General features: G+C 35.0%; 1 protein-coding gene across 3 annotated transcripts in view; it reads left to right on the forward strand.

The window, feature by feature from the left end:
• Window positions 1-15,250, forward strand: part of PLXDC2 (plexin domain containing 2) — a 473,425-nt gene that overhangs the window by 319,338 nt on the left and 138,837 nt on the right. For all 3 annotated transcript variants that reach the window (NM_032812.9, NM_001282736.2, XM_011519750.3), the window contains 2 exons: window positions 7,526-7,648; window positions 12,015-12,133. In NM_032812.9, the coding sequence (NP_116201.7) occupies window positions 7,526-7,648; window positions 12,015-12,133 (242 nt within the window). The remainder of the gene's footprint in view (window positions 1-7,525; window positions 7,649-12,014; window positions 12,134-15,250) is intronic.

Raw genomic sequence — 15,250 nt, forward strand, 5'->3', positions numbered from 1 at the left:
TTGTGGTTTATAATCCCCAGTGGTGCCAATAAAATTAAGAAGTCTATGACATGTGATATATGTTAACACATGTAAATATATTTTAATTTTGTATACAAAATCTATTTGATGTATTTTACCTTGACAGCTGGTTACAAGTATAAATATGGTAACTCTTTGGTGATTGACAATATTATAGTTTGCTTCCTAAGAACTGATGGATATATTTTAATATAAAAATCCCTTCATATATTTTAACTTGATAGCTGGTTGGAATTATAAAGGGAAAGTATTTGGTGATTGACAATATTATAGTTTTCTTCCTAGGAACCAGAGATTAGTAAACTCACATGAATTTCTGAATGCTTCTATCTCTTCCCTTCATTTCTTCTATTAACCGTCTAGTTTGCAAATACAAGCCGATATCCTCATAGTGAACTATGTGGTCTACTACCACCAATTTTATTCAGAGGAAGTCTGTTATGTAAAACCTGTCATTGTGCTGTAGCAGCTGACAGACAGTTACATTACCAAATAACTTACCACAACTTTTAATTTTCAGATTATCAATTGCTGCCACACATGGTTTTGTTAAAAAATCTGACAAGTATTTGTATTAAAGAAGGTAGTTTATAGTATATGACCTGTATCATGACTTACAAAATAGAACTCGTGCAAAACATAATTTGAATTGTTCTGAGACCTCATCAAGTTGTTCAAGCAACTTGTCCACCACCAACACTGAGCTATTCACAATAACTGCAAACCCGCAGTTAAATAATTCAATTCTTCATGAATAGAAGAAGTGGAATATATATAAGGTTAGTGAGAGATCACGATGAGGAGGTGGGTCTTCAAATCCTTATGGATAAAAGATCATAAATTTCAGATCTATTTGATTAATATGTAGAGATAACAGTACATAACGTTATAACAAAGATGACATATACCATTATCATTTGCACCCTGAAGACAGCATTAAACTACAAATGTTCAATGCCCTACAGGCATACCCATCAACTCCAACCTTTCCTTTTGGGTCCAAAATATTAACTAAAAGATGATGAAGTAGAATATTTTATGGAGTACCTTACACATTCAAGTTTTATGGAATGTTTCACAAGCAATTATAGCTTCTTTGTGCATCCTTTATTACTGTGACACTTCCAATTAAACAAAACAACCACTTGCAACCAATAGGAGGTTAACATTTTTACAAAGTGCTTGTTGCATCAGAATGTAAGGAGAAATATATCAAACCAAGAACTTTGGACCCTCAGGTTTTTGTTATCTATTATCCTGTAGTTAGGATCAATAATGTACCTTAACTCAAACAAGAATAAGGCAGATAGATACATGTCATACATTTAGGCCTGAAGCACAATTTTAAAGTTATATAAATCTCCTAGCATTAGTCCAAGATTAACTTGTAAATACTTCATAGAAAAGGCGTCAAGGGATAAAAATTTGAACAAATATAAGTGATTCATTGGTTTTCTGCAAACTTTTAAGCATTCGTCTTGTAGTACTGACTCTTTCAGCCATCACAACAACCCAATGATATTGACTGTTACACTCTCATTTAGCAGGTTAGGTAACTGAGGTACACAGAGTTTAAGTAACTTAGTCACATCACTAGGAAGTCATTTTATTCTACTAGGAAATGAATTATCGCATCGTGTGTGATTCCTATGTCAATTTACATCTCATTTTATGAATTGCAATAGAGGAATATAATATAAATCTATTTATGAAATCTTCCAATTAAAATAACAGAGGCTTTGGTATTACACTAAAAGTAGCATGATTTGAGGTGGCCACCACCCTGCTCTAAGGCATAGGTGCTGGAATTTTCGCACAGACAGAACAGGTCTTTTCTTCCTCAACCTCCTTGTTTAAGTATAAAATCCAATGAGGGAGAGTACATAGCAGATCCTTGAATAAAGTTGTTCTGTTCAACATCATTCTTCAATGTTGATGAGAAAAGAAACACAAAAAAACTGATTCGTGGCCAGGGCCGTTGTCTGTGTGGAGTTCGCACGTTCTCCCCATGTCTGTGTAGGCTTTTTCTGGGTACTTCGGTTTCCTCCCACATTCCAAAGATGTGCACATCAGATTTACTGCATGTCGACATGGTCTCAGTATGATTGAGTGTGGGTGTATGTGGGAATGTGCCCTAGGATGGGATGACATCTGGTCCAGGGTTGGTACTTGCCTCACTCCCTTAGCTGCCAGGAAAGGCTCAGTCCACCTGTGACCCAGAATCAAAATAACTGGATAAATAATTATCTTATCTGTTTTTGTTAACCTTTCTTAAATGTACGTAGAGCTCAATTTTATTTAAATATTTAATATCAGAAGTGTTTTTGGAACACTTTATTTAGAAGTTTGGTGAGGTTTTGTATCCAGAAATATACCACAGGAACTTAATTCTTACTGATATCAATTAGCCAGTGCTGAAATTGTTGCCTTACCTATTTTACTTTAAAGTCGCAGTTTCCAAGAACCTGGAGATGTTAAGTGAGGACTTATCGGATAATTGTGAAAACTGTCATCTGGTGGCAATTTTAACTTGTTTATGGGGATTGTCAGCATTCCTACAGAGTGATTGCCTTAGAAATGACCTCAAGAGAAGTAAAAATAATACTGCCTAACTTTCTGTCTTCTAATGTATCTTTTGTAAGGCTGGACACATAATGACTGCAAAAATATGTTGTAAACAGTCTGTAACATTTGGAATTGCGAGACCTATACTACCCATGTGGCTTTAGGCAAATTGCCCAGCCTTATTAAATACTTCATTTAATAAATGGAAATAACACTAATTGCACCATTATTCTTTTTAAAGTTAGTGCAAGAATACAACAAAGAAAATACATGAAGGTTGGGTGCAGTGGCTCACACCTGTAATCCCAGCACTTTGGGAGGCCAAGGCGGGTGGATCACTTGAGACCAGGAGTTCAAGACCAGCCTAGCCAACATGGTGAAACCATGTCTCTACTAAAAATACTAAAATTAGCTGGGCATGGTGGTGCACACCTGTAATCCCAGCCACTCAGGAGGCTGAGACAGGAGGATCACTTGAGTCTGGGAGGCAGAGTTTGCAGTGAGCCAAAATCGTGCCACTACACTCCAGCCTGGGTGAAAGAGCAAGACTCTGTCTCAGAGAAAAAAAAACAAAAAGGAATATAATATAATTAGTGAAGGCCTATATAGATACTGGTTAATTTCACCATTATCAGAATAATATTTTTTCAGATTAGTAAATACATAGTTATGGTTAATAAATCTATAATGATTGAATGGGATTTATTCCTGACAAGATCTACAATGATAGAATCCCCTAAATGACTCGATGAGGCTTACAGATGTAAAAACAGATTATTCACACGACTAGAGACCACCTATGGAAAGCAGCCCAAGGAAAGTTTTCAAGGTACAAGAACAAAGCTGTTGATTACAACTGATCTCAGAATTTGACTCTGGTTTTACTAGTTGTTAAGGCAAAATGGAGTGGCCGTGTATTCGCTATTATTTGAGATTCAAAGAACAAAATATGTTTGCTTCTCTTACTTGATTCTTTTAAATGAAGGTGTCTTTCTCAGTCCCAAATTATCTGCATAAATGACCACTTTTCTGCAAAGGCAGATGAGCAGATGAGTGCTATTTATAGTAGAATCACATAGTAAGCAAAGGAGACATTGTATGATTAGCTCTTCAAATGGCTACAAAGACATGTAAATAAAATAGTTAAAACATATACCTGAAGGATTATAAATCATTCTACTATAAAGACACGTGCACACATATGTTTATTGCAGCACTATTCACAATAGCAAAGACTTGGAACCAACCCACATGCCCATCAATGATAGACTGGATAAAGAAAATGTAGCACATAAACCCCATGGAATACTATGCAGCCATAAAAAAGGATGAGTTAACGTCCTTTGCACGGATGTGGATGAAGCTGGAAACCATCATTCTCAGCAAACTAATACAGGAACAGAAAACCAAACACTGCATGTTCTCATTCATAAGTGGGAGTTGAGCAATGAGAACACATGGACACAGGGAGGGGAACATCACACACGGGGGCCGGTCAGGGGGTGGGGGGCTTCGGGAGGGATAGCATTAGGAGAAGTACCTAATGTAGATGACGCATTGATGGGTGCAGCAAACCACCATGGCACGTGTATACCTATGTAACAAACCTGCACGTTCTGCACAAGTATCCCAGAACTTGAAGTATAATAATAAAAATTAAAACGGCCAGGCGTGGTGGCACACGCCTGTAATCCCAGCACTTTGGGAGGCCGAGGCAGACAGATCACGAGGTCAGGAGATCGAGACCATCCTGGCTAACACAGTAAAACCCCCTCTCTACTAAAAATACAAAAAATTAGCCGGGCGTGGTGGAGGGCGCCTGTAGTCTCAGCTTCTCAGGAGGCTGAAGCAGGAGAATGGCTGAACCTGGGAGGCGGATCTTGCAGTGAGCAGAGATCGCGCCACTGCACTCCAGCCTGGGCGACAGAGCGAGACTCCATCTCAAAAAAATAAAAATATAAATAAATAAATGAACAAACAAACAAACATATTGCTTAAATTACCCCAAAAAATGAAGGACCAGAAAAATAACATATATATATATATAAAATATCTATCTATCTATCTATCTATCTATCTATCTATCCGTCTAATCTTTAGCTGGGAATGCCCAGAACAGCCAAAGAAAAGAAGTAAATGTCTAATGGGGTGTTGGTATCTGTGAGTACCTTTAAAGCTTTGGAGTTTTGTTGCATTAATTTGCATAACTCTTTCTTATTTAACACCTAATTACATTGCCCTGAAAGCTTGTAAGGTTTCTCTCCACTCAATTATTAACCACTACTGAAGTGATATTTTTAAAATCTGGAAAATTAAGGAGAACTAGGTAAAGCCTATCATTAGATGGGCTTCACCAAGAAGTCAAGAATTTTATTTCTTGGTCATTAGAAACTGACGTGAGATATTGATATAAGTAACTTTCAATATGACCAAGAAAAACAAACAATATTCCCTGAATTAGTAAAATTAAACTCATTTTGTAGAGTAGTAGGGTTTTTTTCCTTCTTGGGGTTTTTATTTTTTTTTTCATGTTAAGTCTTCGTGGTGGTGGTACTAATAGTGGTAGTAGTAATAGTAGTGCCAGACATGCTAATAATTGTGGTGGCAGTTTCTTGTTCATTTTGGTTGTAGCAACCGTAATACTCATAGTGACATAACTTATTTTAATATTCTAGTAATAAAATAATTAAAAACCATATCTATGGCTTTTACATGTTAACAAATTCTTCTGTATTTCTACTTACTTCTTTGGAAACAATTTGAAATTTCACCTTTGACATTTGATAAATTGTAGATTTGGGAAACATTTTCCCGATCAAAAGAAATAACAGTTAATGGTTTCTGTGATTTAAAAATTGGGTTATTGAGAGTGGGAGCAGTTTCTTGGCAAATCTATGTAGAAACATTGAGGGGAAAGTACATATATCTTATTTACTTAAATACTAACAGTAAGTTTGAAGTGTCTGAAATCATCAATGCTCTTACATTTTGCAACAGTGTATTTCTAGGGATTGCTGCTGTTCTTCTTACAAAGTTGTCTTGGAGAATGGATTTTGTATTTATTTAAAATTATCTTCCTTCCTTGAATAACTGCCCTCCATCCTCCAAGTTAAGCAGTTTCTTCTATTTGTACTTGGAGAATATAAAGAAGAAAAATAACCTACTTGGAGCTATTTTCTCTGAAATAACACTTTCAGAGTCTAATTCAAACATTTCTCTTCAGAGATGGTATCTATAGAATTTTTGTATTCATTCTAATGATAAATTATAAATGCATGCTGGAGAGGATAGGAGAAAAAATAGAGACCCTGGAAAAGAGTTACTCTTCATATTTATAATGTTAAGGATGTAATATTGCACTTTGAATATTAGGAGTATGACTCTGAAAATCTAGAAGGAAATATAATAAAAGCAATGACCAAATCACCATAATATGTTTAATATGCTTGAGCTGTGTGAAATTACAAATGTACAAAATTCTGCTTAAAGCATCAGGTATTTGTTTTGAAAGATAGTGCTTGGCAAATAAGAAACAAGGAGTCACATAAGAAACAAAAAGTCATGATGATAAAAGTACACATTGAAGATTTTTACAGTTAAAAATTTTTTTAGATGAATAGCTAGAGTTCAATTATGCTTTTGATGAAAAGTTAAAAGGTATTCAAAGGAAAGAAGATATTGCCAAAAAGAGAGAAATTAATTTCTAAGTAAATAACTACAGGTTTAATTCTGCAATAACTTACCTAGACATCACAATTTTGAATTTGAAACAATGAAGACTGCAATCTGCCAATGAAATATTTATTCAGACCATAAAATGAGTGATCAAAGTTTAACATTTTTTGAGCTTTAAATATTATTATCTTATTAATTCCTGTGAAAGTAGAAAAATGATTTATATTAGTGTCGGGTATCTAATTAACTGATGACTGCCCAAACATTACAATTGCATTGTCACAAATAATTTGCCTTGCATTTTATTTGTGTGTGTGCATTTGCATGTGTAATCTCAATTGTGTATTTCTTAGATTAATATTAAAATTAGTTAGCAATCCCTGAGCTGACTCTCCTTTCAGACAGCTAAAGACCTTGAAAGCAAGAAGCCAGCACAGGATTAACAATTTGTCATGGATAATCCACAAAGTAAATAAACCTAGTGTGAATAATTGAAAGTGGGTTAGACATGTAACATAGGAGCTATTGAAAGTTAATTCAAAGCCAAAGTTCTCCATAATAAATTCCCTCTCATTATCCAACTGCTAGAATAGACTGGCATTGATTAAATCTCTAAATAGAGAGGCATTTGTGCATTGTCAATGTTTTACCACCTTACCTGCAAACATATAGACTTTATCTTCTTGACAGTGTGCTGATAATATAGAGGCTTGAGCAAACCAACAATTTGAAAACGTCACCATGGGTGTTTAGCCCCCTTTCAACTTTCAAGAAAAAAAAAAAGAATCAAAACATTTTCTGCATTTTACCAGATGTCGTTTCTAAAATTCCTATGCTGAGATGGTAGCTTACATAAATACCATGAAAATGAATTCACTAATTAAAAGGACTTGTGTGGTAAGCTATTGTTAAAATAACAAGGGATTAATAATAGCAAATTGAATATTTGAATTACTTATAATACTGTATTAGCATTTTTAGCCTAATAATCTCATCCAGATAATGGTCACTTTCCCCCCAATTAAAATTGTACATGTTATAGATTTCGGATTTGCAAGGTTCTACCAAATTATACAAGAATTTGTTACTTAATCCAGACCAAGTATTGTTAATTAGATACTAAGATATTAAATATGTTCCTTTTTTTCCAGCTACCATGACATTTTATTTTCATAATATGACTGTAATTGAGTTGGAAGTATTTTAATCATAATTTTATATGGGCTTCTTTTTCTGAATATGTTTCCTATTTTTCTAATTCTAGGTTTCATATACACTGGAGAAGTCGTACATCGAATGCTAACAGCCACACAGTACATAGCACCTTTAATGGCAAATTTCGATCCCAGTGTATCCAGAAATTCAACTGTCAGATATTTTGATAATGGTATGTGTTGAGTAGCCTATTTTTTGCTGCATGTATATTTTTAAACCTCAAGCATCAGATTCATGTTAATGTTTTTGTAAACTGTTTATTTTTTGGTGTGTAAACTGCTTGATGCAAATGGTCTGAGAGGACAAATATTATACTGCTAAGATTTATAAAGTACACAAATGGCATTCATTCATTCAACACATTTATTAACATCTACTATACACAGTAAAACTGAGTTGCTGTAGACAAGACCTCAGACAAAGCAAACGCATTTATTTGATGCTATTTCAATAAGTCAGTTTTCCAATTTTCCCATCAGAAAAAAATGGAAATAAGAATAATTTTGTTAGTTCTGATCTTCCAGTTGAGGCAAGTGCCATAATATATTGACATTAAATTTCCAAAACTTATGACTTGTATGTATCAATAAGATGAACACATATTTTAAGAAGTATAAAGTAGTTAGTTGTGGGTAGTTCAACTGAAGAAAATAAAGTTTTCTTGACTTTAGAAAATGAGTGAGAGCCTGTCAAGATTTATCAAATATACCAAGAGCAATGTATCCCTGCTATTACTTTTTGGGACATATAAAATAGAGAAAAAAACTATAATAAATCATTAAGTGGTGCCAAAATCCAAGCGAGAAATTCAAGGTCTTGGAGACATAAATGAATTTTCATCTCAACATCTTATTGAAAGCTGTAACTTTGGTAGAGAAAATAAATTATAGGTAACAAAGAGTTTATATTGCAATGATTAAATATAGAATTTTCTGTGTATTTATCATTCAAAAATGATATTTATTTGTTTAAAAGACAATTTTATGCCTGCAAATAATACAAGCATTTGGGGTGAACAGAGTTATTTCTACTTTTATCTTATTTCTGATGATCAAGGAAGAAATTTGCTCATGGTTGGAATAGACTTGATGGTAGCTGTAGCCTTGGAGAAATATGATCACTTTGCTAAGAGCCATCTCCTGACCAGTGTGATGAAAGCCATTTTACAGGTCAAAATAGCACAATGAGGAAACTAAACATAGTTAGACATTCACCTTAGGAAATACACGTTGAACATCTTGAGTAACACCAAGGTATGATCCAATATTAGGTAACTCTAAGTGTTAGCTGCAATAATGATTCATCTCTGTTATTTTAAGAACTATTATATTCTCTTCTCTTCCATTTTTTAAAAACTCATGAGGTGCTAACACCCAAGGATGTGCAAGTGGACTGTAAGTACACTATTCTTGAGGCAAAACTGCAGCCAGAAACTTATCTGAAACTTATTCTATGATTACCATGCAAAATTGCCTTGGGAGTCTATCCTACGGAAACAATAAATGATTTAGTGAACACTGACTATTTTCCAAACTCCGACATTCACTAGGTGATGTTAGGGTCATTTACTCATGGGCACATGATTCTAATGACCAAGTTTTTATACTGTTGCTATCAAAATCATAAAGCATATTAAATAAGTCTCTCTTCATATATTTTCATATACCTTGTTCCTAGGTAGCTCTTAATATTTGAATTTTACTCGTATTTGAATGATTTTTAAAAATTGATGTATACTACTCCAACTGAACTCTTAAGTTCTTTAAAAACAAGGACTGTGGCTATAAGAAATCATTTTATCTCCAGTACCCTGCATAGACACTTTATTATTTAGGACGTAGGTCCTAAATAATTATTCAATGAATGAATAAAAATAATTACATACGTAAAGTGAGTTTTATGTCTGAGAATTGTAAAAGTATTAATACTCAAGAATGCATGTATTGTTTACCCACTGAAATATCTTCTGTGTAATGACTTATTCCATAGGAATCAAATATTGAGGAATATTGAGTTCAAACAATATGATAATGAAAACTTACGTTTTATTAAATGAATGAAACACTTTTAAACACTGTAAGACTCTTCACGAAGCCCTTTTAATACCACAACAACTTGCTGAAATATTTTCAAGTTTAGTTAGAATCATTGACAGGATACTTAAAGATTGGAAACTCAACAATTTAGGAAAGCAAACTTCTCTGGAAAAGACAGCAGCAGGTTAGAAAATTTAAATCAGCAAATGTTGAGAGAGCTATGCTATTACATAATATAAAACTTAACATGTGCAAACAGTACACTTTTTTTTGTTTTTTGTGTTTTGAGATGGAGTCTCACTCTGTCGCCCAGGCTGGACTGCACTGGCATGATCTCTGCTCACTACAACCTCCGCTTCCCGGGTTCATGCCATTCTCCTGCCTCAACCTCCCGAGTAGCTGGGACTACAGGCGCCCACCACCACGCCCGGCTAATTTTTTAATATTTTTTTTAGTAGAGATGGGGTTTCACCGTGTTAGCCAGGATGGTCTGGATCTCCTGACCTCGTGATCCGCCTGCCTCGGCCTCTCAAAGTGCTGGGATTACAGTTGTGAGCCACCGCACCTGGTCAACAGTGTGGTTTTTAACAACCTGCTACTAACAAAATATTAGGAATCCCTTCCTCAGAATTGGCATTAAAAACTTTAATTTATATAGCCCTCTTATTTTCATAAATAATCAAGCGTAAGTATATTTTCTTGTATTTAATGCAGGAATGTCTTGAAGGCAAAAACTATACTCCCCATGTTATAGGAAAGGAAACGGGTTCATGCAGATTAATTGTGTCCAAGTTCACATGGAAAGTTTTATAGAGACAAGATGCAAGTCTAAGTCTTCTGCCCTCTGGTTCATTGTTTTCACTGCATCACCAGAGTGCGATAGAAACTAGAAAATAAGGAATAGACTAGAGCTTGAGGGTTGTAGACATGTGTGAAGGAAAAAGAAGTTAGGAGGCATTTCACAATCAGAAAATTCCTATACTTATAAAATCATGGGAGGTTTCCTGGCTACTGTCTTCTTTTGCTCTATTTTTTTTGTTTTCTCTTCTTTTCTTTTCTCTTCCTTCTTTCTTTTCTTTTCTCCTTCCTTCCTCCCTCCCTCCTTTCTTTCTTCCTTGCTTCCTTGCTTCCTTTTCTTTCTTTCTTTCTTTTTCTTTCTTTCTTCCTTTCTTCCTTCCTTCCTTCCTTTCTTTCTTTTCTTTTCTTTTTCCTTCCTTCCTTCCTTCCTTCCTTCCTTCCTCCCTCCCTCCCTCCCTCCCTCCCTCAGGACAATATAGACACGGAGATGCCCGTGGAAGGAAGAGACCTGAGTGGTCTTCACTCACAGCAGTGATAATGGCTAAAAGCACCAAGGTCAAGTTAAAAAACTTTTTTTTCTTTTTTACTTTTAAAGTTTTGCCTCAAAAGAAATACATTTCTTTACTTCAACATCCTTTCAGGACTTACAATTGGGTGTTCAAAATATTTGAAATAATGTGTCTATTTAAAATTGTCAACCAGCTCAAGAGATATTACTAATAGCACCAAATAGTTACTGAAAATTAATTCTTCCATGCAATTGTAATTTTTAAATATATCAGATATTTATTACTGGGAGATAAGATTTGCTCTTTTAGTTCTATGATTTTCATTTTCAGCACAACTTTTTTGGGCAACAGTTTTTCTAACCAAACAGAAAAATCTAATATTTAGAGTGAAGAAAAAGTCTTAGCAGCTCATTTCTTTTCTTTTTTTTTAAAAAAAGAGAGTACACAATGTCAGTTAAAACAAAAATTTGAATTCTCACTGGTGACTATTAAACTATGTTTCAGTTTTTATTTCATGCCCAATCGTTTATGGTAAACACTGACAGAGTGATTCAGAATATAATATACAGCACTGAAGTTTCATCCCAGTGTGCTTCAAGGGGACTTCAAAAATCTTAGTCCAGGGCCCTTTGAGCTTCTTACAGCTTCCTGGAAGAAACACAACAAAGACAGAAATACAAGCATTGTGAACTCAAGGAGAAAATTCCCATTAGTGTTAAAGGAACTCCTTCAATGTGGAAAAGTATAATTTTAAGTATGGAAAAGACATTTTCAGGTCTTTTGTATGTGGTCCTAACTTTTTAGATGTGTTTCTCTCTCAGCATTTGTCAAATGTATTTGAAGTTCATTCAATCCACTTGGGCTGCATTTTGAAAGTGGCTTATGGAAATTTAAGCAGACAGTATCTATTAACATTAATAAAATTCCTAAGGCAAAATTCCCCCACACTGCATTAGCTCAATTATTGACCTTAGTATGAGGTTCTATTTTACTAAATATTTAGAGAGTACTCAATCCTTTAAAAAAAATCCCAAATGCTATTTCAATAACAGAATTTGATTAACCACATAAAATCGAAATAGTACAACTACCAGATTTGAAGGCCAGATGCAAAAACATTTTTGTGAAAACTCCCACCAGAATTGATTGGTATGTTTTTCTCATTGCATTTCTTCTTTTTTCAATGGGTGTATAGGCACAGCACTTGTGGTCCAGTGGGACCATGTACATCTCCAGGATAATTATAACCTGGGAAGCTTCACATTCCAGGCAACCCTGCTCATGGATGGACGAATCATCTTTGGATACAAAGAAGTAAGTGATGCGTTGATAATTTCTTTCCCTTCCCCTTGTTCTTGACTGCTGCCTTTCCTCCAAATGTCAAGAAAGGGACATTTTACAGCCATGATCCTCAAATCATTTTCTTGCCTCTTGGTTTCCTTTGCTTAATAAAAAATGTTTTGATTAGTTTTAATTTTCTGGGTGCATTGATTGTTAGCTCTTTTGTATTCTGATATTGTTGGCATCAGGACTCATCAATTTCATAAAATTATTGAGTAATTATATTGACTAATTATTGAGTAATTAGAGTGAAATGTCTCTAAGAAAAAAAATTCAATTTGGAGGGATTTCTCATCTAAATGTAAATGTTTATATTTACGTATTTTCTTTAGTTAGTTTTTTTTTTTTCACCTGGTTGATTTCTTTGTTATATTTTGGTTCTAATTTCAAAAGCATTTATAGACACGAAAACTTATGTGGCTCAAGGACCCAGTACTGAGAGAGTTCTAGGATGGCTGTGCTTTGGCTAATGTTTGTTGAAACCAGATAGGAAAGATTAATTAGAGACCTAAGTGACAGAAAAAACAAGGAAATTTAAACTTAGGTTTGTTTCATTTTAACAAACTGACAAAGTAAAGAATGAAAATTTACTAAATTGTAGCCTTAAATTTACAGAATATTTAGACTAGAATAACTGTGTGTTTGATTTCCAACTCTTCTGACAAAGTAAGTAAGGCCTGTTGGACTAAGAATATAAAAATAAAGTTCCAGGAACTACAAATGTAATGTTTTAGATAGTCTCTAATTATGAGAGAAACCTGAACTGTGAGAATTACTAATGAGCATTATTAACCCATAGGTTAATGGGTATTTATAATATTACAGACTCGATATCTTATGTTCAGCTGAGGGATTACTTTTTCCTTGAGAATTGAATCCTAGATTATAAAAGGGATGTTGAGGATAAAGAAAGAATGCCCTTTGGTCAAATCTTCTGAAATCCATCTATTCCATAAAGTGCGGCATAATTTAATTACAATTAAATAGGCCAACTTTTAAAAATTCTGTAACCATGTCAGATATTTCTATTCCTTTAAAAACTTTTTTAATGAAATTTTTCATTTACTTGGGGGCAATTGTGTAAACAGGTTATAATTATAGACTATGTCTTACTCTATGTTTCTTTGTCCAAGTGTATGGTGTTTTTCTTTTAATTTTTATTTCAGGTTCAGGAGTACATGTGTAGGTGTCTTATATAGGGAAACACATGTCCTGGAGGTTTTGTTGTACAGATTATTTTCTCGCCCAGGTACTAAGCCTTGGATTCAATAGTTATTTTTCTTTCTTTTTTTTTCTTTTCTTTTTTTTTTTTTTTTTTTTTTTTTTGAGTTGGAGTTTCACTCTTGTTGCCCAGGCTGGAGTGCAATGGCCAGATCTTGCCTCACCATAACCTCTGCCTTCTGGGTACAAGCGATTCTCCTGCCTCAGCCTCCCAAGTAACTGGGATTACAGGCATGCACCACCATGCCCAGCTAATTTTTGTATTTTTAGTAGAGACGGGGTTTCTCCATGTTGATCAGGCTGGTCTTGAACGCCCTACCTCAGGTGATCCTCCTGCCTCGGCCTCCCAAAGTGCTGGGATTACAGGCGTGAGCCACTGCGCCCGGCCGATAGTTATTTTTTCTGATCTTCTCCCTCCTCTCACCTTCCACTCTCAAGTAGGCCCCAGTGTCTGTTGTTCCCTTCTTTGGCCCATGCATTCTCATCATTTAGCTCCCACTTATAAGTGAGAACATTTGGTATTTGGTTTTCCATTCCTGCATTAGTTTGCTAAGGATAATGGCCTCCAGCTCCATCCAGGTCCCTACAGAAGACATGATCTCATTTCTTTTATGGCCTCATAGTATTCCATGGTGTATATGTACCTGGTTTTCTTTATCCAGTCTATCATTGGTGGGCATTTAGGTTGATTCCATGTCCTTGCTATTATAAATAGTGCTGCAATTAACATACATATGTATGTGTCTGTGTGGCAGAATGATTTACTTATTCTTTTAATTAATAGAGTTTACTTTTTTAGAGTAGTTTTAGATTCACAGAAAATGATGCAGAAAATACACAGAGTTTGAACATACTCTTCTTGTCCTGCTGAACATCCTCCCCCATCATCGACATACCCCACCAGAATGGTACATTTGTTGCAATAGATGAACCTACATTGACATTGACACATCAATGTCACTCAGAGTTCTTAGATTAGAGTTCCCTCTTGATGCTGTACTTTCTAAGGGTTTTAAGGATGTATAATGTCATGCATCCATCATTATGGTGTCCTACAGAATCTTCCCTGCCCTAAAAATTTTCTTTGTTCTACCCAGTTTTTTGTTTCAATAGGTTTTGGGGAAATAGGTGGTGTTTGGTTACATGGATTTACATTCCTTTGGTTATATACCCAGTAATGGGATTGCTGGCCTGAATGTAGTTTTACTGGTGAGGTTGTGGAGAAAAGGGAATGCTTATACACTGCTGGTGGGAGTGTAAATTAGTTCAGCTACTGGGGAAAGCAGTGTGGCGATTCCTCAAAGAAATAACATCAGGGCTGTGTTTTTATATCAGAGCCCACTATATTTTTATGTCACACTCCCTGGAAGCTGAGAGAATAGTTCTCAAAAGGACTTATTCATTTCTAGTTTTCATTGCAATCTAGTATATTGCTGTAACTGCACAGTGACGTTTTGCAATGTTCATTTTCAACGGTTTGAACCAACACTGGTCAAGTCTCTGTAAAGACGCAAGGTCAGTAAGTTTGGAGACTTAGGTCTCACCACCTGGAGGCTTTGTCAAAACAGAAATTTGTGTTCTTATTGTGGCTTCGCTTGCTAGTCTTTATTATTGAAATTGTCATCTTTCTTTACGCTGTTCTCAAAGGTGTCTCACATTGCAGAATTCTTCCTTTTCTCTGTTCTTGGTTGGTATTTTTAAAGGCCTTTTCTTTTCTTCATTTTAATCAAAGAAAAAAGTTCCACTATGGTTTTCCTGTTTTGTTATGGGGAATTTCAAGATGACAGGCAAATTTAATGTTTTCTTGATATTCCCAGGCTCTTGTCCTGAAGAATGTCTTCCCTCTGCACTTGGAGTTCAAAGAAGTCA

Source organism: Homo sapiens, chromosome 10 (assembly GCF_000001405.40).
Source record: "Homo sapiens chromosome 10, GRCh38.p14 Primary Assembly".
NCBI lineage: Eukaryota > Metazoa > Chordata > Mammalia > Primates > Hominidae > Homo > Homo sapiens.